The 26340-nt window shown below is 36.6% G+C and overlaps 1 annotated feature.

The window, feature by feature from the left end:
- Positions 11762–12700: an enhancer, noted in NCBI's record as "H3K4me1 hESC enhancer chr10:83330697-83331635 (GRCh37/hg19 assembly coordinates)". NCBI's record gives its function as "activates a minimal SCP1, AML or CMV promoter by ChIP-STARR-seq in primed H9 embryonic stem cells {active_cell/tissue: H9 hESC(primed)}" and the evidence as "EXISTENCE:reporter gene assay evidence [ECO:0000049][PMID:30033119]".

The following is a 26340-nucleotide window of genomic DNA, read 5'->3' as shown; positions in this document are numbered from 1 at the left end:
TTTCTTTTGCTGTGCAGAAACTCCAGTTTAATTAGGTCCTACATGTCAATTTTAGTTTGTGTTGCAATTGCTTTTGAGGACTTAGTCATAAATATTTTGCCAAGGCCAGTGTTGAGAAGGGCATTTTCTAGGTTTTCTTCCAAGATTTTTATAGATTTAGAACTTTACATGTTAGTCTTTAATCCATTAAAGGTTATCATTATATAATTATGTGTTCTTGTTTATATGTGTAAACTATTTCAAAATAAAATTAAATACTTCATTAGTTAAAGATATAAAAAATTTAAAAGTGTAGACTGGGCTTTTAAAAGTGTAGACTGGACTTGTTGAGATACATTCAGGATTAATGAAAAAATATACTCTTTGAAATATATTAGGGTAAAATTTATCATAAAAGGTTAAAGACAAAGTTCCATAGATAAAACAAATCAAAAACATTAGGATTTCATTTGAAACAAGACCTGCAAAGTTAAACTATATCATCTATAGATTTTAAAGAAACCGAATAGAGATTCGTTAATATAATCATGAGCCAAAATATTACTTCCGTGGAGGTATATAAGAACATTTTGAAATATAAAGTTCCAGAGAAGATCACTCATTTAATAATACAATCAATGAATCTTTAGTTAAATATATACAGAAGATGACAATGTGATTGGGAATTTGTGTTTCTTAAGAATCCTTTTTATAATAGATTGGATTGGAAATTAAACCTTAGTAATAATCTATCACCAAAGTTTTAAATTATCTCATTGGGAGAATACATAAGATTCTGAAATGAATTTAAAATTTGACAGTTCAAAAAAACAAAAATAAGCAGAGACTTTGAGAAACACAATCATCTAGCTAAATTACATAAATTACATAGATATACTGAACCATTTGTACCATTTAATTCCTATGAAGAAATAATCACATTTTTTTCTTATTCATGGAAATGGTTTTCTTTTAATTTCTATATTTATTTACTAAAAATCTTAATAAATTTTAAATTATATTTAATTAGCCATAAACTTTGACTTAACTGATAAAAGTAGAATGAATGATAAAAAACAAAATCTACATGAAAATTAATAAGTGCTTCCTTAGTTGCTATTAAAATCAAAGAAAAAACTTAAAATAGGTATTAAAAAATGTATATCATCTACTGAAAAGGAAGACAATTCATAAGAATACATTGAAGACATAGTTAACCAGTACTTAATATTATATACTCGGATGTTTTTTGCTATTATAGAACAAATACTGGAAACATGAACCAGGAATGCAACTTAAGGGATTAGAAAAAAGAGAAAAAATAAGAAATGTATAAATTAAGAAAGAACAGTTACAAATATTAGAGTTAAAATCTATAAAAATAAAAACTGTAAAATAGTAAAAAAAAAAAAAAGGTCAAAACTGATTTCCTAAAACATGAATTAATAAAGTAAACAAAGTTTTGAGATGTTCAAGTAATAATATTTTCAAGGGAGACACTGCAAAACTTATAAAATATTAAAATAACAATTTATAATCATAATTATTGGCCAGTTTTAAATGCTTGAATTTTTACGGAAAACAATGAGAAAATGTTAATGCTAAGATCATTGTATGATTTTTTTTAGCAACATACAAACTACCAAACTTGACTTAAAAAACAGAACAAAAGTATGCTGATAAAGAAAGCCATGATCTCATTAACGGGGTACTATAGTTTAATATAGCAGTAGTTTACTCAGTGCCATTTTTGTATATAGTTTGTAAGGATAGATCACAATTTATGTATCCATTCTATTATAGATGGATATTTGATTTCTGTTGAGTACTGCAAATGATGCTGTGATCATTATATGTGAGCTCAATTTATCAGGACTGTTTTTGATATGCTTTCTTCCTAAAATAACTCATATTTTCTCTTTAAATTGGGCATATCTTTCTTGGAACAATGGATAAATTCTCATTTTTTAGGTATACAGTAAAAAGATTATTTTGATGACCTAATGCCTCTGTACCTCACTCATTCCAAATAAGAAAATTAGGCACTCAGGGTACATGAAAAAAAATTTCAGTCATATTTTTAAACTATTAAATAAAACTGAAGGAATTAAAATTGTTATAGCATTTACTTTAAGTAGTAGGGTGAAATGAACATAATTTTAAGCAAACACATCTTCAGAAATGTATCAATTTTACACTAGCCAGAAAGTAAATTAAAGAAATTTAGAAGTTAGAGTGCATAAATAACCTGGTAAACTGTATTGTTTTAACAATAAAAAGCAACAAAAACAATAGCAATACGAGATGATAATAACGATCTGGAAGGAAAATATAAAATTAATTGCAACTTTTCCAATTGGTGGTGGTGAAAGAAAGAATGCAAGGGGCTGAAAGACGTTCAAGATACCCATATTCCTCAGTGATGAGCTTCCATTAGTTGGTTATAAAGGTCGAAAGAGTAAATATTTTCATGAGCTTAAGTTGGTAGTAACCAAAATAAAAATTAAAATATAATATATACATTTCAATTATCCAAAGGGAAAAAACTATTTAAAAAGCTATCTATTAGGGAAGTAGAGAAAAAGGCCAACTAAACAAACCAAAACATGGTAAATGGCAAAATGACATGAGATGGAAAAAATTATTTTAAAACAGTAATTTATATAAAGTAATTAAATTACAAATAGATAATGTTAAAATACATAAAACATGAAATGATATTTTTGTACAAGAGAATTAGTTTACAAAGCGTTGAGCATAAGTGAGGAAAATATATACTACACAAATATAAACCAATTTGATATAATAATCAGTAACAAGGACAAATGTTGTATTAATATTCATAAAACAAAATCAAGAAAACAAAATCACAAAATTAGGTATAACAAAAATACAACCTTAAAATACAAGACAGTGTCTGTAGTTTCAGGAAACCAGGAAAAATACATAAATTCACAATTCATTTGGAAATTTAATGCAATCCTTTGGGGCATTAGTAGATCAAATATCATTAATTGAGTAATTTAGGCTCAACCTACAGTGCACATTTTTTTGTTTGTTTGTTTGAGACAGAGTCTCGCTCTGTCGCCCAGGCTGGAGTGCAGTGGCACGATCTTGGAGTGCATGTTATTTTTTGATAAGGAATATTTAATATCCAAATTCATTTCTGAACTACTCCACAAGAAAGTCTGAAAATATATTCCATAGACGAATCATCATATGCACTATGCTCTTCAAGAATAAGGCAACGAAACAGCTATGCCAGAGAGACCATGACCTTATAATTTACAGCATAGTGTTGAGGTATGCATTTTGTTATTCTTTATTTCACAATGTTTTACGCATTGTAGATTCCTTTTTTTTTTTCATTGTCTTCTGGTATTGAATGATTTTCTGGGGAAATATGAAACCAAGTGTTAAAAAAGTCATAAAATGTAAAAGGAGTATTTTTCACATAACTGACTCTTAGAGATAGGCACTTGGAACAATTCTTTTTTTTTTTTTTTTTTTTTTGAGCCGGAGTCTCACTCTGTCGCCCAGGCTGGAGTGCAGTGGCGGGATCTCGGCTCACTGCAAGCTCCGCCTCCCGGGTTCACACCATTCTCCGGCCTCAGCCTCCCGAGTAGCTGGGATTACAGGCGCCCGCCACTACGCCCGGCTAATTTTTTGTATTTTTAGTAGAGACGGGGTTTCACCGTTTTAGCAGGGATGGTCTCGATCTCCTGACCTCGTGATCCGCCCGCCTCGGCCTCCCAAAGTGCTGGGATTACAGGCGTGAGCCACCGCGCCCGGCCACTTGGAACAATTCTTATGCAATCTCTGGAAATTTCCTGTGCATAAACACATATATGTAGGTACATTTGTGTATGTATATACATGTGTGTATTCCTACAAAACCAAGCATCCTATACATACTGGTTTTTTCATAATTTTTTTTACTTCATCTTTGAGAATTCAGATATGAGTTTATTCTAAACTATCTCATTTCCCCTAACTACTTCATAAGATCCCATTGTGGAGATTCATAATCTAATAATTAAATGCTCTGTTGGGGGCAGTTAGGTTATTGTTTAGTTTCATCTCATTTGTTTTGTTTTTGTTACTGTAGAAAATGGTGCTTAAATCTCCTACATATAAACTATATCCACAAGGTAAATGCCTTCAATTGGAATTTCTGAGACGAATGATATATATTTCTAAAATCAGAAAGAACTTTGCAAAATGCCTAAACTTCCATGTCTTCAGAAATCATTAATATGGGATTTTTCAAAGAGTTAAGAACCTAAATTCCTTAACATCTGTAATTCTACCTACCATAATTTTCATCTTAACTCTCCCTCATTCCTCCATTGTTCCTTGCTTTCAGATCTCTCCACTGCCTCCCTATTTATTATTGATATGTCATAGGACAGTGGTTTACACTGTGTGATATGAGAACCATTTGTGGTACAGAAGATAATTTCATATGGCCCTTTAAGGAACACATTTACTTAAATATATATGTATTTCAATATGCATTTGTAAAAGATAATTAGCACAACAAATTAGATTATCTTAGAAAACATTTATATAAAATGTATTTATTTAGATAAAATACTAGGCAGTATGTAATCTATATGAAACTCCAATTTGGAAAAAAAATTAGGTGTCTGGAGAATCGTCGAAACTTTGGAAACACTACTGTAGTGTTGTGTCCGGACTTGGTTCCTTCCAGTGGTTTCATGGTCTCGCTGACTTCAAGAATGAAGCCGCAGACCTTCATGGTGAGTGTTACAGCTCTTAAAGGTGGCACGGATCCAAAGAGTGAGCAGCAGCAAGATTTATTGTGAAGAGCAAAAGAACAAAGCTTCCACACTGTGGAGGGGGACCCAAGCAGGTTGCTGCTGCTGGCTAGGGTGCCCAGCTTTTATTCCCTTATTTCTCCTTGCCTACGTCTTGCTGATTGGTCCATTATACAGAATGCTGATTGGTCCATTTTACAAACTTCTAGCTAGCCACAGAGCACTGATTGGTGCGTTTTTACAGAGCACTGATTGGCACATTTTACAAATTTCTAGCTAGCCACAGAGTGCTGATTGGTGCATTTTTACAGAGCACTGATTGGCGCATTTTACAAATTTCTATCTAGCCACAGAGCGCTGATTGGTGCATTTTACAATTCTAGCTACAGAGTGCTGATTGGTGCATTTTACAATCCTCTTATAAGACAGAAAAGTTCTCCAAGTCCCCACTCCACCCAGGAAGTCCAGCTGGCTTTACCTCTCAATGTCATGTTCTGTTCATCTTCATCATCTTCACTTCCTGGACTGTCATTGCTTCTGACTAATAACAGTTACCCCATGATTTTGAAAACACTTGAGCAATGTTTGCCATCTAGTATGATGAATAAAATTTATAACTTTTAATTATATGTTTGGAGTAGGATAAACAAAGTGATTGTAGTAACCTTCCCCAGAGAGTTATGTTTCCACAATAATTTAAAGTATTATGAACTTTGCAGGAGATCTTAAAAAAATGATAAAAAGAAAGAGATGGATAAAGACATACAGATATCCAAAGGACACAGAGAGAAAAAGATGGAACAAGAATATATGTGAGAGACTACAAACAATGGCAAGCACAGACCAGCAAAAGAAAGAAAGAAAGGGTAACAGAGAAAGCAATAGAGGAAGAATATGAAGCCATGTAAATCTGAATGTGGGCTCTTTTATACCAAGAATCTACTCCAAGGCTGAATATTAGCTCACTTTTAAGAATCAAAGTTGTGGATTTCATAGGTTAGTAATTAGAGAACTCATTTTACAATCCACATTTAAGAAGTATATAGTATTGAAATATTGTCTCTCGCTTGCTTTCTTGTTTTGTCTTTTTCATTTTATTAATGGTGTCTTTTGAAGTGCAGAAGATTTCAATTTTGTAGAGTTCTAGGAAGTTTCAAACTTTCCTACATCTTCCTGTCTTCTGAGCCCTCCAAGTCTCCAGGAAGTTCCAAACTTTCCCACATTTTCCTGTCTTTTTCTGAGACCTCCAAACTGTTCCAACCTCTGCCTGTTATCCAGTTCCAAAGTCACTTCCACATTTTAAGGTATCTTTACAGCAGCAACCCACCACAAGGTACCAATTTACTGTATTAGTCAGTTCTCATGCTGCTAATAGAGACATACTCAAGACTGGGTAATTTATAAAGGAAAGGGGTTTAATTGACTCACAGTTAAGCATGGCTCAGGAGGCCTCAGGAAACTTACAATCATGGCAGAAGGAGAAGCAAATATATCCTTCTTTACATGGCAGCAAGGAGAAGTGCCAAGCAAAAGGAGGAACAGCCCCTTATAAAACCATCAGATCTCACAAGAACTCACTCACTATCATGAGAAAAGCATGAGGGTAACCACCCCATGATTAAATTACCTCCCAAGGGGTTTCTTCCATGACACCTGGGGATTATGAGAACTACAATTCAAGATGAGATTTGGGTAGGGACACAGCCCAACCATATCACCAAATATCCATCAATTGGTGAAAGGGTAAACAAAATGTTATATAATCATACAATAAGATGCTATTTACCAGTAAAAATGAATTTGCAGTCCTATTATGTGCCATAAAATGAACAAACCACTATAACATTATGCTAAGCAGAAGAAGCTAGTTGCAACAGGCCATATTTTGTATGATTCCACTTACATAAACGGTGTAGAACAGGCAAATCTGTAAATAAAAAAAATAGATTCATAGTTCCCTGAGTCTTGGAAAGAGAACCGGGATTAACTCAGAATGGGTACAATGAATATCTTTGGGGTGATTAAAATATTCAAAAGTGGATTGTGATTGTACCACCCTTAAATTTATCTAAATATCATTAAATTTTTCATGCATAATGGGTAACTTTATGGTGTACAAATAATAGTTCAATAAAGTTGTGACAAAAAAATGAGCACTGAGCTCAGTGTTGCTCATTTTGGAAGAATTATTAATAACCCTTACTATATCAGATGTTTTCCATCCTCCCATCCATATGTTCATGGTTTTGCCACTTCTTGGCATGCTGCCTAACTTCCAGCTATCAGCATTTGCAACCTTTTTCTGAGAGCTTTATCTGGCCATTGGATCTTGCTATGCCTGTGCATGGCAGACAGAAAGTACTGTGGGTATCAATGACTCATGGGTGCAAACCTTGAGCAATAACTGGCAGAAACTCATGGAAGAAAACCTCATGTGTGGCCAGGCATGGAGGCTCACACTGTAATCCCAACACTTTGAGAGGCTGAGGCAGGAAGATCACCTGAGGTCAGAAGTTCGAGACCCGCCTGGCCAACATGGTGAAACCCTGTCTCTACTAAAAATACAATATTAGGCAGGCATCGTGGTGCATGTATGTAATACAAGCTACTTGGGAGGCTTAGGCAGGAGTATCGCTTGAACCCAGGAGGCAGAGTTTGCAGTGAGCCAAGATTGCACCATTCCACTACAGCCTGGGCAACAGAGTGAGACTCCATCTCAGAAAACAAACAAACAAACAAACACAAACAAAAAACTCCAAACACCAAGAAACATTTCTCTCATCCCTAAATGGGATAGTATTAAGTTTCAGTTTTCCACAGGTTGACTTGTATGGTAATGCATGCTGTTACCTTCCTTTCCCTCTTTTTATCCTCATTATTTTACATTATACTGAAATTCCTTCATCTACTCTGTTTCTCTCTGTTACAGATTGCCTTGCTAGTTATTCCCACAAAATCAATTTGTCCTTTTTGCCCATGTGGCCTCTTAGCTACCAATTAAATGTGTCTGCCTCTCTTGCAGCTAGGTGTCTATATGTAATGTGAAAAGTGATATGTGTACCAGCTCATTTCTAAATATAAATAAACCACTTCTCCTGGATCCTAGCTCATTTTATTATTTTCTATGGACTAGAATTATATATCTTTGACCATATAAATGAAAATACAATTCCACAGAAAAGTAGAGAAATAATATAGAAGGATTCTAAATCCCTGCATGACCAAAAAGGTGTAGGATGACTTTGCTAGCCTACTTGTCAGACTGTTACATGAGAGCACAATATCTGCTATATTATGTAAGTAATAGTTTTTGGGGTCTTTTTGTCATAGCAACTAGCCTTCATCTTAATATGCAACATTCCTGCTCTGTCTTCAGTTTCTTTTCTACCACTGTAGTATTGAGCGGACTCACTTGCTTAGTAATTTATAGTAACCTAATTGAATGCATCCGTTCACCAAATTTATGCAGAGCCTGGAAATTTTAGTAATTTTTTTTTCTCAGACTCTTTGAATTCCTAACAGTTGAAAAACACAGATTTTTGTTACCCTGCTGGTGCTCTGTAATTACATGCAATGTGCACTGTAAAACCATCAAGATCTTGGCTCATAAACCAGATGCCTTGGTCTTTCTGAGTAAGTATTAGCAGTGAGGAACCTGGCAGCAGATGGCGTTCCCCTGGCAACTATGTTTCTAACTCACTAGTTCCTGTCAGTACCTGCTTGAAGGTTTCAAACTTGTAGGCAGTTTAATTCCTTTGACAGACTTGCTGAAGAAAAGAGCTGAGAGGAACTCTGTTTGGGAGCAAAAGTTTTCTATAATTGTCGACCTTCCTGCATCCAGTTCATTTGGAGGACATTTAGATTTACCAGGGGTTCAAAATTATAATCACTTCTCATGTATGTTGAGCTGAATATGAGTAGTTCTTACTCTCCATTGGCTGGCTTGCTCAGGGAGGCAGTGCTTAAAATGATACGGTAGCAAATATCAGCTTAGTCAAAGCTTAAGCTAGGTAATTGAATTCTGGTGGCAACCACAGACAATAAGTGCATGAGGTGTCTTTGAAATGTGTTGTACTGATCAACCATTAAGATAGTAATGATCACCTTGGAGCAACCATCTGCTCCTGTTTGGAGAAGAAACTTCAGCTACTGCAGATCGGGTTTCCTAGGAAGCAGATTCTGAGATGGGGTACAGGATGTTTATTAGGGAGTGCTCTTGAGGTCAATTCCTGGGTAAGGGAAGGGAAGAAAGAATGATTGGGCAGAGGGGAAAAATTGAGCTTCAATCATCAAAAGCTCCCTCAAACCCCACAAGGTGCTCTGAAGCCTGGATATGTCTTCGTGGTCCACCTTCATTGTGGAGAGGGAGCTGGACATTTGAACTCTTATGTTGATTGGCCGTTGTGTGCAGACTCCCTGAGGAAATGGCAGTGGCCCAGCAGATGCAGATTTCTTCAATCATGGGCAACTTCCAAAGAGGACTGATAGCTTTCAAGGGTCAGGTGACAACCTTCCCAGCAGCTTTGGGAATAAGAAGTAAGAAATAATACTGAGAGATTCTGAGGGAGGAATCTGGATGACTTATTACAGGTCCTACTATCCCAACCATCTGGGCACCTCCGTGGTAACTCCAAATTACAGTTTCTTTATTGGTTTCAGGCCCTTCTACTTACAGCTACTAGAAGTGGTGATTTAGTCTCTGGAGTCAGCTATGAATACTTTTTTTTACTATGCTACTAGTGAAAAACATGCCTCAGCCAGGAGGTAGCTGAGATTTGTAGCTGACACTAGATGTCAAATAATCCCTTTGCTTGGATGTTCTTAAATTTCACTAAAATGTGTTAGTCTGGGACTGTGTCTCTGTTTTGTTACTATCTGTAACTATTGTTCCCTTAACATGGTTATTTATCCTGTTATTCATCACTACATGCCCTGCATTACTCCATGTGGAATAATTTTTCTCATGGGAAAATGAAGTTTTGTGCAAAATATTATCAGCCTCTATCTGAATTTGTGAAATGTGTATATATATATATATGTGTGTGTGTGTGTGTGTATGTGATATATATATGTGATATATATATACAGACCTATATATATATATTTCAGAAAAATATATTCAAATATTTTTAAAATGTTGAATCTTATTAAAAGACTAATAGTGAAGACAGAAATATACTCTTCCTGACACCACAATCCAATTACTTTGAAACAAAGACTTTCATTTGTTTGTGACTTTTTCGGATATTTTCCTGCATACATGATTAACATGCTTATACTAATATTTCTTGAGTAATCAATGTTAGATTTAATGTACTGACCTCTTTATTATGTCAAATATAGATGCATACTATCTTGGTATTTCCCTCTGCAAAACCTTCCTAATTTAGGTTTGCAAATTTATATAAATTACTGTGAAATTCTATTTTTCTGAATCTTTCCCCGATTTTTGGCTTTTTTGCTTATCTGTTTTAAACTCATTCCATTTGTAGGCTTTCATCAGATATTCCATTGCATTTAATCGTACAGCTTTAAGAGTGAGTTGCTAAAATGTTGATTAGAAGCTGTTTTTGTGTTTGACTTGATGATGAGATATGGAGTTTTTTTTAAACTTTTATTTTTATTTTGGGGGTATATGCACAGGTTTATTATATAGATATTCATAAATTGCATGTTGTGGGGGTTTGGTGTACATATTATTTCATCACCCAGGTAATAAGCATAGTATCCAATAGGTAGTATTTTGATCTTTATCCTCTTACCCTTCACCCTCAAACAGACCCCTGTGTCTATGATTGCCTTCATTGTGTCCACATGTACTCAATGTTTAGCTCCCACTTAAAGGTGAGAACATGAAGTATTTAGTTTTCTGTTCCTTGGTTAATTTTCTTAGTATAATGGCCTCAGGCTTCATTCATGTTGCTGCAAAGGACATTATCTTGTTATTTTTTATGCCTGCATAGTATTCTGTGGTGAATATGTACCACATTTTCTTTATGGAGTCTACCATTGATGGGCATCTAGGTTAATTCCATGTCTTTGCTATTGTGAATAGTGCTGCAATGAACATACATGTGCATATGTCTTTATAGTAGAACAATTTATATTTTGGGGAGAATATACCCAATAATGGGATTGCTGGGGCAACTGGTGGTTCTGTTTTGAGTTCACTGAGAAATCACAAAACTGCTTTCCACAGTGGCTGAACTAACTTACATTCACACCAGCAGTGTGTAAGTGTTCCCTTTTCTCTGTAAACTCACCAGCATCTGTTATTTTTTGACTTTTTAATAATAGCCTTTCTGACAGTTGTGAAATGGTATCTCATTGTGATTTTGATTTGCATTTCTTTTATGATTAGTGATGTTGAGCATTTTTTTCATATGCTTGTTGGTTGCATGTTTGTCTTCTTTTGAAAAATGTCTGTTCATACTCTTTGCCCATTTTTAAAGGGTTTTTTGTTGTTTTAAGTTCCTTATAGATTCTGGATATTATGACTTTATAAGATACATAGTTTGCAAATGTTTTCTCCAATTCTTTAGGTTGGCTATTTTCTCTGTTGATAGTTTCATTTGCTGTGCAGAAGCTCTTTAGTTTAACTAGGTCCCACTTGTCAATTTTTTTTGTTGTTGCAATTACTTTTGGTGTCTTCATCATGAAATCTTTGTAAGGACTTTTGTCCAGAATGATATTTCCTAGATTATCTTCCAGGATTTTTATAGTTTTTATAGTTTTAGGTTGTACATTTAAGTCTTTAATCCATCTTGAGTTGATTTTTGTATATGGTGTAAGAAAGGGGTCCAGTTTCAGTCTTCTGTGTATGGCTAGCCAGTTATCCCAGCACCATTTATTGAATAGGGAGTCCTTTTCCCATTGCTTATTTTTGTCGATGATCAGTCGGTTGTGGGGATGTGACTTTATTTCTAGGATGTCTATTCTGTTCCATTGATCTGTGTGTCTATATTTCTACTACTAACGTGTTATTTTTGTTACTGTAGCCTTGTGGTATAGTTTGAAGAAAGGTAATGTGATTGCTTCAGCTTTGATCTTTTTGCTCAGTGTTGCTTTGGCTATTCATGCTCTTGTTTGGTTCCATATGAATTTTAGGATAGCTGTATCTATTTCACAGAAATAGAAACAATGTCATTGTGATGGCAGCAAGGGGCAGTCCACAGTGGGGAAGCACAGGCAGTGGAAACAGGAGCGGCAGCAGGAGCGGCAGTGGTGGCGGTGGGTCATCTGTGCACCATGTCCACAAGGTGGCCAACTGCACTGCCTCCATCTTCATGTGACCGGGTAGAAACCCCTCTCAGTCCTGGAGCCTCCATGGCTCTGAACCCTGGCCATGCATTGCTGCTCTCGCCGGCCAGCACTACGGGGAAGGTGTGGGCAGGGGGAAGACAGTTCCCAGGCCGCCCCAGGGAGCCCCCTGAAACCCACTGCCCTGAGGACTACAGTGATGGGGCTGGGCCACGCCTCCTGCTGTTGCAGGAACAGCACTATCGGGCAGAGAGGGGCCCAGGGCAGTGCTGGGCCCAGGTTGGTGCTGGGCTTGCATATGGAGCATGGGGACCGGGCCTGGGGTGCGAAGTTGGGGCCACGCTTTGGGAGCCAGGACGGAAAGTGGGAGCAGGCCTGCTTCGAGAACCTGGCCAGTGGTGCAGCCACCACTCCCACTCTGCAGAGGATGCTGGGTTTTTCACCTCAGGAGGAGGCTCTGTATGGGGCTGCACCAGTGCATGTCCCTGGGGTCTGCCTTGCATCAGCGTGACCACTGAGCCTGACACTCCCGACGGCTGGGCCCAGGGTCCACAATCCACTTCCAGAGGTGTGCCCCCTAGACAGGGCCACAAGCCAGGTGAAGGGGAGCCCTGGGCTGCCCCTGAAGGTTGCGGCCATCGGGGAGCTCTCAATGATGTTGCTCCTGCCCCGAACACTGGCCTAGGCCCAGCAAGGACCTGGAGCCCCCACCCCAGGCTGCATGGGTTGTGGCCAGGGCTGCATGATCTACAGAGCCAGTGGGAGCCAGGGACAAGCAGAAGCCTCACCCCTTCTGAGTTTGCATGCCAGGAGCTCCCTGGGTGCGCTGCAGCTGCCCTGTCCAACCACAGACTCAGGCATCCCTGCACTCTCAGGGGCCCAGGAAGCTTCCTTTGTCCCCCCAGGCTCAGGAGTGTTTGCTGTTGCTGCCTGGCCTCTTCCCACTACCACTGCCTGTTCTGATCTGAGAGCAGGGTTGGGGCCAAGCCCAGGAGCAGTCATAACCTGGCCTGGTGTGTGCGCACTCAAGGCAGTGCTGACATGCCAGCTCCCTGAGGCTGTGGCACCTCCCAGACTTTGGGCACTGAGAAGCTTTGGGAGGGAGGCTGAAGTTGGGGGAAGCGCAGCTCGGTGCTGCCCTGCAGGTTGCTCTTGGCTGGAGCAGCCTGGGCACCATGGACACCAGCAGAAGACAGACAGGCACCTGGGTGGAAGGGGGCAGATCAGGCCAAGGAGGGCCTGAAGGCTGGTGTCTGGGCTGCCAGTCCCATGGACCAGAGTCGGAACTTATGGTGCCTTTTTGGGGCACACCCATGGACCAACCGGTGGGAACTTCCTCCCCTCTGAGGGGCCATAATATCCCCAGGCTCAGCCAGAGCAGAGCAGAGGACAGAGAGACAGTGGGATGACCAGCTGCAGAAAGGAGCTACCCTCTTTGCTGAGAGCTGCAGAGATGACAGGATGACCTGCCTGCAGAGAGAAGCTTTCCATTCCAGTGTCTCCTCTCTGCTAGGAGCTGAACACTCGTCAGGATAACCCGGCTGTGAGAAGGAACTACCCACTGTGGGTCCCCTCTGAGCTGTTCTGTCACTCAAAGCTCCTCTTTGCCTTGCTCACTCTCCACTTGTCTGTATACCTCATTCTTCCTGGTCACAAGGCAAGAACTCAGGACCTGCCAAATGGCAAGGCTAAGAGAGCTGTTACACAAACAGGGATGAAATATGCCCCTTGCTCACCATGCTGTGGGCAAAGAGAAGGAGAGGAAAGCTGCAGCCCTTTGGGAGACCAGACCTGGGAGCTCCCCAAGCCAAGGCTGTGTCTCCTTCTCTGGGTCCCTGCAGTTCCTGGCATTTCCAAGCTTCTGGGCATCACTGCATTCCCCGATGCCAGCCAAGGAAGCTGCTTACAGTGTGCCTGCTCCAGCTGCAGCCTCACAGAGAGCCGGCACCCATGCCGGCACCTGGAGCTGCCTGCCATGCAGCAGCAGCCGGCATGTCTGACTGTGTAGTGACCAGACCCCATGCCTTTCCCCACCTGACTTGCAGTCTCCCTTGGAGGCATGGGATCCAGGCTGGTAGCTCAAGCCAAACCCTGTTTGCCAGGCCAAGTCGGCAGAACAAGCCCAGTGGCCATGAGCAAAACCTAGGCAGAAATGACACAAGCCACAGGTTTTCTGCCAGAAGAGTAACATCCCAAAGATCCTGCAACAATTGGTAGTTTCATAGGAATAGCTTTGAATCTAAATTGCTTTGGGTTGTATAGCAATTTTAACAATATTTATTCTTTCTATCCATGAGCATGGAGTGGTTTTCCATTTGTTTGTGTTAGCTCTGATTTCTTTCAGCAGTGTTTTGTAATTCTCATTGTCTCTTTACCTCCCTGGTTAGTTGTAGTCCTAGATATTTTTTTGTGTGTGGCTGTAGCGAATGGGATTTCATCCTTGATTTGGCACTCAGCTTGGATGTTGTTGGAGTATAGAAATGCTACTAAGTTTTGTACATTGATTTTGTATTTTAAAACTTCGCTGAAGTTGTTTATCAGATCTAGGAGTTTTGGGCAGAGTCTGTGGTATAAAATTATGTTATCTACGTACAAAAAATAGTTTGACTTGTCTCTTATTTGGATTTATTTCTCTTACCCAATTGCTCCGGTTAGGACTTCCAGTACTATGTTGAAAAAGAGTGGTGAAAGTGAGAAATCTTATCTTGCTCTGGTTCGCAAGGGGAGTGTTTCCAGCTTTTGCCCATTCAGTATGATTTTGTCTGTGGGTTTTTCATAGATAGCTCTTATTATTTTGTGGTATGTCCTTTCAATGCCTAGTTTGTTGAGGGTTTTTAACATGAAGGGATGTTAAATTTTATCAAAAGCCTTTTCTGTATATATTGAGATGGTCATGTGGTTTTTGTTTTTAGTTTCATTTATGTGATGAATTACATTTATTGATTTGCATATGTTGAACCCAACTTGCATCCCTTGGATAAAGCCTACATGATTGCAGTGTATTAGCTTTTTGATGTGCTGCTGGATTCTGTTTGCTAGTATTTTTTGAATCTGTGTTCATCAAAAATATTGGCCTAAAGTTTTCTTTTCTCATTGTGATTTTGCCAGGTTTTGGTATCAGAATGTTGTTGGCCTCATATAATGAGTTAAGAGACAGTCCCTCCTCATCAATTTTTTGGAATAGCTTTAGTAGGAATGGTGCCAGCTCTTCTATATAAGTTTGGTAGAATTCAGCTGTGAATCTGTCTGGTGCCAGGCTTTTTCTAATTGGTAGGCCTTTTATTACTGATTCAATTTTGGAACTTGTTTTCAGTCTTTTAAGGATTTTATTTCTTCCTGCTTCAATCTTGGAAACTTGTGTTTCCAGGAATTTATCAATTTCTTGTAGGTTTTCTAGTTTGTGTTCATAGAGGTGTTTGGAATAGTCTCTGAGGGTTTTTTGTATTTTTATGGGACTGATGGTAATGTCCCCTTTGTTATTTCTGATTGTGTTTACTTAAATCATCTCTCTTTTTTTCTTTATTAGTCTAGTCAATAATCTTTCAATCTTATTATCCTTTCAAAACACCATCTTATATTTTTGTTGATCTTTTGTATTTTTTTTGGTGTCTCATTTTCATTCAGTTCAGCTCTGATTTTGATTATTTCTTGTCTTCTGCTAGCTTTTGGATTGATCTGCTCTTGCTACTGCTTTCCACTGTGATTATTGCCACTAATTGCAGAACTACTTTGGTCTTCTTTCTCTATAGAAAAATAACCATCTGTTCCCTACAGAGATTGGGGAGAGGAAGACACATGATTGTATACATATCAGCAGTAAGGATCTAGGAGTCTAATAGCCAAAGTTCTTCATAGTTTTACACAATTCTTTCATTTTCTGTTCCATGTATGTCCCACATCTTTTATGGTGTCTTTTACTATGCCTCAAATTTCTGAGCCTTTCGAGAGTATTCTGTGACAAATTGGTTAGCCTCTTGTCGATGTCTTTAATTTTTCAATTTCAAGTGAATATCAAAAACTGCTTAAATAATGTATGATTAAATTTTATGAAAAATGTTGGATTTTATCTAACAAAGGCACTTCTCCATTCACTCTGCTTATCTTTTGTTCATTCATTTGGCCTAGATTTGCTGCACTAGGCTCCACTTAGGTGTTTGAAACACAGCAGTGAAGAAAACCTAAAAGTAGCTATCTACATAAAACTTACTTTTTAATATGGGTTATGGAATATAAATAACATTTAAGCACTGTATTTTAGATAGTAGTACAGTATTTAATTTAATACAAAACATAACATAATATATACTTGTCTTTTAGATAGATATATGTATCTTTTACTTAGATCATTAAAGAAAACATTATAATATAAACTTATCCAACTTTATCCTCCTTTATTCCTGCCACAGCTAACTGCTGTTTAAAGTTAATTAAGTACCTGATTTCCATAGAAATTTATAACACCCAAAAGTACATTGATTGGTTTTGCCTTTTCTGTAATGTTTATATGAATTATAGTGTACATATTCTTCTGTGGTTTGCTTCTTTTTCTCAATATCATTTTTTAGATATAAATATATTAATGTGTGTAACTATGGTATATTATTCTTCATTACATTTTGTATTGCACAATTTTTAAACTCATTTTAGTCTTAATGGATATTAGGGTGGTTTCCACATTTTGGTTTTGTTTTGTGTCTTGCTATTACAAACAATAATCTTATACATATTCATGGGTGGAATCCCTGTTTCTTTGTGCATTTTTGGAATGGGTAGGTTACTTTTCTCTATTGACTTTAAAGTGTCCCTAAAATGATGAGGTAGTAATCTGTTTAATATTTTGCAAATTTTTTTCAAGTCTGTCCCTTAACTTCCAATTATATTTATCATGATTTAAAAAGAAATAAATAGAAATTCTTTATTTTAATGAAGTAGAATTTATCAGTCTTTTCCTTTATTATTTGACTGTGAGCTAAGAAGTATTTTCCTGTCACCAAGATCATAAAGATATTACTGTATATATTTTTGAACAGTATTATAGTTACTCCAGTTAGCATTTAAGTATTCATAAGCTTGGAATTGAATTTCATGCATAGTGCAAGGTTGGCTTCTATTTATTTATTTATGCAACAACATTTATGAAAGCCATTCTTCTATTCAAACCTGCACATGTTCTTTAATATTTAGGACAAACAAGAAACAAAATTATAAGCCAATCTCACTTACAAAAATAGATGAAAAGTCCCAATGCAATGATTGACAAATTGAATTCAGGATGTATAAAAAACGTAATGCATTACGATCAATTTGACTTTATTTCAAGACTACAAATTTGAGTTAAAATTTAAAAATAATGTAATTTAACATGCATGCCAAGGATTTAAAAAAGAACAATCATTTCATCATTCTAATAGATTTTGAAAAACATTTTAAATAAAATGTTGACATGAAGTTTATTCTAGCTTCATACAAATACTTGGAGACTGTTTATGTGTTTTACAATTTGTTTTGACAGAGGTTTGTCCATTTTTTACAACTTTCACTGAAGTACTTTTAGCATTATTGGGGCTTTTAATTGCATATTTGTTTTCTGTTTTAAAATTACTTACATTGTTTTTATTACTTCCTTTATTCTATTCTTTTGGACTTCGTTTAGCATTTCTTCCTTTTAATTTTGAGATGGGACCTTTCCTTATTAGTTGTTGGTTTTAATTTATTTGAATACAAGTATTTAAATTTACAAATTTTGCTGAGTACTGCTTTATATATTTTCCATAATTTTTACTATATTTATCATTTATTTTTATATATAAACATTTTCCTTATGGTGTTTTCTTATAACTATGCTTATTTGGATGAACCTTTTAAAATTTCTAAGCTTATTTAAAGTTTTTATTGATTTCTTTCTTAATTTTCATAAGAGAACATGATACCAACTCTTTGACATGTTTGATATTATCTTTCTAGCTTAAAATGTTTGCCATTTTCATAAATGTTTTATGTATATTAAAAAACATGGACTCTCTCATTGTAGATACAAAATCTTCTGTACTTCATCACATTAAAACTATTGTGGTTTTAACACCTTCTATATTTGTATTAGTATTTTTACTTGCTGTGTCTATCATTTAATAAGAAGTGCTGAAAGTATGAATTTGTACATGTAGTTTATTGACATCTCCTTGCAATTCTAATTTTTATTCTGTGTATTTTTTAATTTGTGCAAATTTATGGGTTACATGAGAAATTTTTTACATATATATAAAATGCACAGTGATCAAGTCAGAATATGTAGGGTGTCCATCACTTGAATACAATAATTTTTTTTAAGTATAGTGATTCTACTTTGCTATCAAACATTGAGTTAGTACTTCTACCTTACTATACATTTGTATTCTTTAATCTACTTCTCTTCACCCTGCCTCCACTTACACCTAATCACCCTTTGTAGTCTCTGTTATCTATTTTTTCATCATTCTCTACTTCCATGTGTTCACACTTTTAGCTCCCACCTGTAAGAGAGATCATGCATTATATGTCTTTTTGTGATTGGTTTATTTCACTTAAGATAATGACCTCAGTTCTATCCATGTTGCTGTAAATGACAAGATTTCATTCTTTCTTTATGGTGAATAGTATTCCATTGTGTGTATATATCCATTATCCATTCATCCATTGATGAACATTTAGGTTGATTCCATGTCTTTGCTTTGTGAATAGTGCCACAATAAACATGCAAGTGCAAGTACCATTTGGATATACAGATTTTTCTTTCCTTTGGATATATACCTGCTATTGAGATTGCTGGATCAAATGGTAAATCTATTTATAGTTTTCTGAGAAATCTCCATATTGTTTTCCACAGTGGCTTTACTGTTTCAGTCTGCTTAGTCCCTAGTTCAGCTAGGTCTGCATTCTTGTCCTATGGCCACAAAGAATTAGGCATGAGGACACCAGAGAGTCAGTAGAGTAGAATTTATTAGGAGGGGTGCCGAAAGCAGGCTGCCAAAAACGGGCTGAATTCTGGAAATTTTATGTGGCAAAAAACAGGAAGTCTTCTGTGAAGACCAGGAAGTCTTTGCTCAAATGGGAGGGGTAACGTTCCCTCTTAGGGGTGTTGTATCTGTGCATGCCTAGGGTTGGCCAGAGTGACTCCATCTTGGTTATTACTCATGAGTGCCTAAATGAAACCCATAGTTGTGGAGTGGCGGGTGGGGGCTATAACCACAATGCTAATGTCATGTTAATGACTTTATAATGAGCTGGGTCAAGTTAAGTATATTTAGCTTAATTTATAGTGTCCATGCCTAAGTTGGGACAGTCCCTTCTGAGCAACATCCTGGCACAAGGGGAAGTTCTTAACCACAATTCTTCCCATTATCTGCAGAGGCAGTATAGGTGCTGTACTGTGGTTGTTCCTGTGAACATTGCCCGTCTCTGTCCTGCTCCCAAGACTCTCCCTCTCTATCTGCCTAACCAGCCCCCAACTGCCTCCTCTCTCATTACTAGTTTACATCCCCACGACAGTGTGTAAGTGATCCCTTTTCTCCAAATCTTCACCAGCATCTGTTATTTAATCTTTTTAATAATGCCATTCTGACTGAGGTAAGATGATATCTCACTGAAATTTTATTTCCATTTCTCTGATGATTAGTGATGTTGTCTTTATATTCCCCACCTTGAGAAATGTCTATTCATGTCCTTTGCCCAATTTTTAATGACATTTTTTTCTATGAGTGCCATGTATATTCTGGAAGCAAGTCCCCTGCTGGGTGAATAGTTGGCAAATATTTTCCACTTCTTTTTGGCCCAAAAAGTAAATCTGTGTCTTTTAAAGATCAAATACAATGCAATGATATTTATCTTGATTAGTTCCGTATTATTTTGCACTTTCTATATAAACTGTATGTCTATATTTAGAAGAATTATCACTGATTATTGGAATGCTTGATGTTTTATTCTCCATCATTTTAAGTGTAAAACATTGTGTTTATATTATGTTGTGTTTCCCTACAGAACATGGATCTGCACAATTAATAAAATCTAAACTTAATCATAAGGGTTGAATTTTTCTCATTAAAAATATGGTGATCTGCATGTTGTCTCTTATAAGTGGGAGCTGAATGATGAGAACACATGGACACATGGGGGGAAACAACACATACTAAGCACCTGTGGAGGGGGTGTGGGAAGGGAGAACACCAAGAAGAATAGCTAATGGATGCTGAGCTTAATACCTAGGTGATGGGATGATCTGTGCAGTAAACCACCACAGCACACGTTTAACTATGCAACAAACCTGCATACCTTGCACACATACCCCTGAACTTTAAAATCTGAAAAAATATATATAAATATGGTGATGTTAGTACATATAGAGCCCAAAGTGCTCAGTATTGCCAATATTCAGTATTATTACATGTTTTTGTTTTATTTAACTGTCTTCAATGACATATTGCAACATTGTTTTATAATGAATATTTATAAATATTTATTTACCTTTATGTCCCTCTTTTATAAATTTTTCTGCTTACCAGTCTGCAATTCATCTATATGTTATTTCTTTGTAAATAATTTGTCTTTCATTTTGGCTACTTCTTTGAAAATATTTTTCTCTTATGTGTCTGAAGTTGTGCTAAGCATGAAAATTTTTAATTTATGCCTCATATATTTAAAACACTGAACATGTATTTCAATGTTCTGGAGGATGCCAAGCCAATGTCTTTATTTATTCTGTCTATTTTCTTTTCTTTTTCATTTTTTGGAACTTCAGTTACATTAGACATTCTCATTCTGTCTTCCACATCTATTTATTTCCCTTTTATTTTTCTCTTTTAAAATTTGCCCTAGACTCTAAGTTTTTTTGTTAACTCTTTTTTTTTTTTTAGTAAATTCCTATTTATCTGCATTTAGTCTGGCAGTTAACACTTCATTGATTGTATTTTTCACACTTACACCTGTTTATTATCTAATCTTCTATTTTCTTCATTTTAATATTTTATTACTTACTATTTTTGAAACAATTATTTCTTTCAACCATCTTTAATTTAAAGTACATATTTTATATTCTATATCCAGTAATTTCATTGCCTGGGCTATCTAAAATTCTTGTTTACTTAAATCTTTTGTTTCTTGATTTTGCTATTTCTTGCTATTTGGTATTTTTTGGTTTGGTTTGCTTTGGTGTTTTACAACTTGTTATTTATTACTTTACTTTATATTGCACACTCATCCTTGGTGAAACTTAATCTGTGGAAATCCTGCTAGCCTGTTTTGAGGGTTTGTCCTATCAGAGACAATTGAATTTTACCTAATGACACTTTAGTTTACAACTTATAATAGTGCATAGAAGCTAGACATGCAACCATGACTCAGTTTCTGGTTAGAATATACAGCAAAGACTGGTAAAGCAACAATTGCATTAAACTATGTTAGTGTCATATTTATGGCCACGGATATCTTCATTATTCCTTCCACCACTCTTCATGCTTTTGGGAGCTTGTATTTTATTGTTTTTGTTGCTGTTGTTTTAACCCTCTGTTTTTTCCACACTGCTACCTGTCCTTCCTTTTAAGAAAATTTATCTTTTTTCCTATCTCTTCGCTAGATGTAATGTATGTAAGAAAGGAGAATAAATATAGAGAAAATTGTTTACAGGAAGAAATAAGGTGAGACCAAATGGCAAGGGTCATGACTACTGGATATTGAAAGAGTTGATAGAGGGAGAGGAGCAGGAGTCTAGTATAATGAGAGCTGGAGAGCAGCAGCACTGAGATGCTATCTAGAGGAAAGGGACTCTTACAAACTATTTCCTCTGAGTTATAAATTGGAACCAATTTATGTTCCTAGATATTCACAAAAGTCTACTTACAATTTTATTGATTTGTTCATCAACTATTGACCAAGTGCATGCTTTACAGTTGGCACCTTTCAGGTTAAGGAGTATACAGTAGTAATGAAAGAGGCAAGGACCTCACTCTCCTTGTGTTTACAAAATATCAAAAAGCAATTTAAAAATAAATAGATAATTAAATAACATTGTAGATTGTATGAGTGTTACATGGAAGTAAAACAGAGTAAAGAAATAATGAGAGAGGGAAGGAGTTGTCTTTCATGTGGGGTAATCTGATAAAGGTTCTGTGGTTAGGTGATTTTTGAGCTGAAACCTTAATAAAATTGCTGGAGTTTGTTTCCATAAATGAGATGTTGAGCAAGGGCTGAGCTACATGGGGATCCAGCTACTGTTGGACCAACAGCTGTTACAGAGGTAAACTTAGGGTCCTTTGGAAGGACAGATCTAGGCCATTAAACCAAGCTTAGTTTAGTGACTCTGTGAAAGGAATCCAACAGTGTGAGCAAAGTCTCAAAGGTGATAAAAGAACTAGGCAGTTAGAGGAGACAGAAAAAGTGTGCACAGAGAAAATAATGTGCTTGGAGGGATTAAGGAACTTGTAGTAGTTGACTGCAAGTAATCTGTCTTTTTCCAGCCTCCAGGATTATAATTAAGGTGAGAGATGAAAGCAGAACAAAATCAAAACTATCTTGTGACAAGCCACATAGTCTGGATATTACTCTGAGGCCAACTGGGAAGTGGGGGCAGAAAATGAGTTGATTTTAAGAAGCAAAGAGTAAGGTGATTTCCAATTTCATCCATGTCCCTACAAAGGACATGAACTCATCATTTTTTATGGCTGCATAGTATTCCATGGTGTATATGTGCCACATTTTCTTAATCCAGTCTATCATTGTTGGACATTTGGGTTGGTTCCAAGTCTTTGCTATCGTGAATAATGCTGCAATAAACACACGTGTGCATGTGTCTTTATAGCAGCATGATTTATAGTCCTTTGGGTATATACCTAGTAATGGGATGGCTGGGTCAAATGGTATTTCTAGTTCTAGATCCCTGAGGAATCGCCACACTGACTTCCACAATGGTTGAACTAGTTTACAGTAAACTATCGCAAGAACAAAAAACCAAACACCGCATATTCTCACTCATAGGTGGGAATTGAACAATGAGATCACGTGGACACAGGAAGGGGAACATCACACTCTGGGGACTATTGTGGGGTTTGGGGAGGGGGGAGGGATAGCATTGGGAGATATACCTAATGCTAGATGATGAGTTAGTGGGTGCAGCACACCAGCATGGCACATGTATACGTATGTAACTAACCTGCACAATGTGCACATGTACCCTAAAACTTAAAGTATAATAAAAAAAAATAAATTAAAAAAAAAGAGTAAGGTGAATGTTATGTGTTAGAAAGACTATTCTACATGTTGGAAAGTAACCAATTTATAGAAAATGGACTGCAAGGAGTACGGTTGGAGTCTGAAAAACTAGTTAAACGGTTGTATTTCGTGAGAAATAAACATTGTTCCTGAATATGATTTACTCTACAAATGTCTACCTTATATACAGAAACTCTTTCATGATCTTGGTGATACATAGATAATATTACAAATATTTTACATTTGTATCAGTAATACTCTTCACTTATTCACTTTAGTTTTTCCCTTGATAGGACACAAGTCATTCACTCAATATACATTTGTTGAATTTTTTTTACTTATTATATGCCAGGCATTTTTTTAGGAACTGGTCACATGGCAGAAATTTAAGGCTAGCATAATACAATAAAATTTTATTACAAGACATGTAATTATATTGCTATTATTTTTATCTTGATTCCTGCTTACCAGTTTCCGTTCATATTTTCATCTCTCCTTAATGGTGTTCGTTATTTCTATGGATATCGCATAAATATATATCATCAGTAAACATAAAGGAATTCTCTCTGGTTTCATGCACACACAGGCTTTCATTGTAATCCACAAAATTCAATGGTCTTATGACGGGACAAATTGCTCCCTTCCAGACTTCACTGTACAGGAATTCAATGCCTTGGTCTCTAATTGCATCAGTGTTTTCCTATGGTTTTTAATGTCACAGAAAACTCTTGGCTACCGGTTATCAGAGTCATCAGTTTCTGATAAAGAAATTCAAAACTCCGTCACACTAAAACACTCAATAAGCTAGGTATTGATGGGACATACCTTAAATAATAAGAGCTATTTATGACAAACCCACAGCCAATAGCATACTGAAGGCAAAAGTTGGAAGCATTCCCTTAGAAAACTGGCAAAAGACAAGGATGCCCTCTCTCACCACTCCTATTCAACATAGTATTGGAAGTTTTGGCCAGGGCAATCAGGCAAGAGAAAGAAATTAAGGTTATTCAAATAGGAAGAGAGGAAGTCATATTGTCTCTGTTTGCAGGTGACATGATTGTATATTTAGAAAACCCCATCAACTCATCACCAAGACTTCTTGAACTGATAAGCACCTTCAGCAAAGTCTCAGGATACAAAAGCAATGTGCAAAAGTCACAAGCATTCCTATACACCAATAATAGACAAACAGAGAGCCAAATCATGAGTGAACTCCCATTCACAATTGCTACGAAGAGAATAAAATACCTAGGAATACAACTTACAAGGGATGTGAAGGACCTCTTCAAGGAGAACTACAAACCCCATCATCTCATCACCAAAACTTCTTGAACTGATAAGAACCTTCAACAAAGTCTCAGGATACAAAATCAATGTCCAAAAATCACAAGCATTCCTACACACCAATAATAGACAAACAGAGAGCCAAATCATGAGTGAACTCCCATTCACAATTGCTACAAAGAGAATAAAATACCTAGGAATACAACTTAAAAGGGATGTGAAGGACCTCTTCAAGGAGAACTACAAACCACTGCTCAAGGAAATAAGAGAGAACACAAACAAATGGAAAAACATTCCATCCTCATGGATAGGAAGAAACAATATTGTAAAAATGGCCATACTGCCCAAAGTAATTTAGATTCAATGCTATTACAATCAGGCTACCATTGTCTTTCTTCACAGAATTAGAAAAAACTACTTTAAATTTCATATGGAACCAAAAAAGAGTTTGTATAGCCAAGACAATAGTAAGCAAAAAGAACAAAGCAGGAGGCATTACTCTACCTGACTTCAAACTATACTACAAGGCTACAGTAACCAAAACAGCATGGTAGTGGTACCAAAACAAATATATAGAATGATGGAACAAAACAGAGGCCTCAGAACTAACACCACAAATCTGCAACCATCTGATATTTGACAAAACTGACAAAAACAAGCAAAGGGGAAAGGATTCCCTTTTCAATACATGGTGTTGGGAAAACTGGCTAGCCATATGCAGAAAACTGAAACTGGACCCCTTCCTTACACCTTATACAAAAATTAACTCAAGATGGCTTAAAGACTTAAATGTAAGACCTAAAACCATAAAAGCTTTAGAAGAAAAACTAGGCAATAGCATTCAGGACACAGGCACGGGCAAAGACTTCATGACTAAAACACCAAAAGCAATAAAAACAAAAGCCAAAATTGACAAATGGGATCTAATTAAACTAAAGAGCTTCTGCACAGAAAAAGAAACTATCATCGGAGTGAACAGGCAAACTACAGAATGGGAGAAGATTTTTGCAATATATCCATCTGACAAAGGGCTAATATTCAGAATCTACAAGGAACTTAAACAAATTTACAAGAAAAAAACAACCTCATCAAAAAGTGGGTGAAATATATGGACACTTTTCAAAAGAAGACATTTATGCGGCCAAGAAACCTGAAAAAAAGCTCATCATCACTTGTCATTAGAGAAGTGCAAATCAAAACCACAGTGAGATACCATCTCATGCCAGTTAGAATGGCAGTCATTAAAAAGTCAGGAAACAACAGAGGATGTGGAGAAATGGGAATGCTTTTACACTGTTGGTGGGAGTGTAAATTAGTTCAACCATTGTCAAAGACAGTGTGGTGATTCCTCAAGGATCTAGAATCAGAAGTACCATTTGACTCAGCAATCCTATTACTGGGTATATACTCAAAGGAATGTAAATCATTCTGCTATAAAGACACATGGACACGTATGTTTATTGCAGCACTGTTAACAATAGTAAAGACTTGGAATCAACCCAAATGCCCACCAATGATAGACTGGATAAAGAAAATGTGGCACATATACACCATGGAATACTATGCAGCCAGAAAAAAAGAATGAGTTCGTGTCCTTTGCAGGGACATGGATAAATCTGGAAACAATCATTCTCAGTATACTAACACAGAAACAGAACACCAAACACCGCATTTCTCACTCATAAGTGGGAGTTGAACAATGAGAACATATGGGTACAGGGATGGGAACATCACACATCAGGGCCTGTCAGGGGTTGGAGAGCAAGGGGAGGGATAGCATTAGGAGAAATACCTAATGTAG

Source organism: Homo sapiens, chromosome 10 (assembly GCF_000001405.40).
Source record: "Homo sapiens chromosome 10, GRCh38.p14 Primary Assembly".
NCBI classification, from domain to species: domain Eukaryota; kingdom Metazoa; phylum Chordata; class Mammalia; order Primates; family Hominidae; genus Homo; species Homo sapiens.
This window is presented reverse-complemented; position numbering and strand designations above follow the sequence as displayed.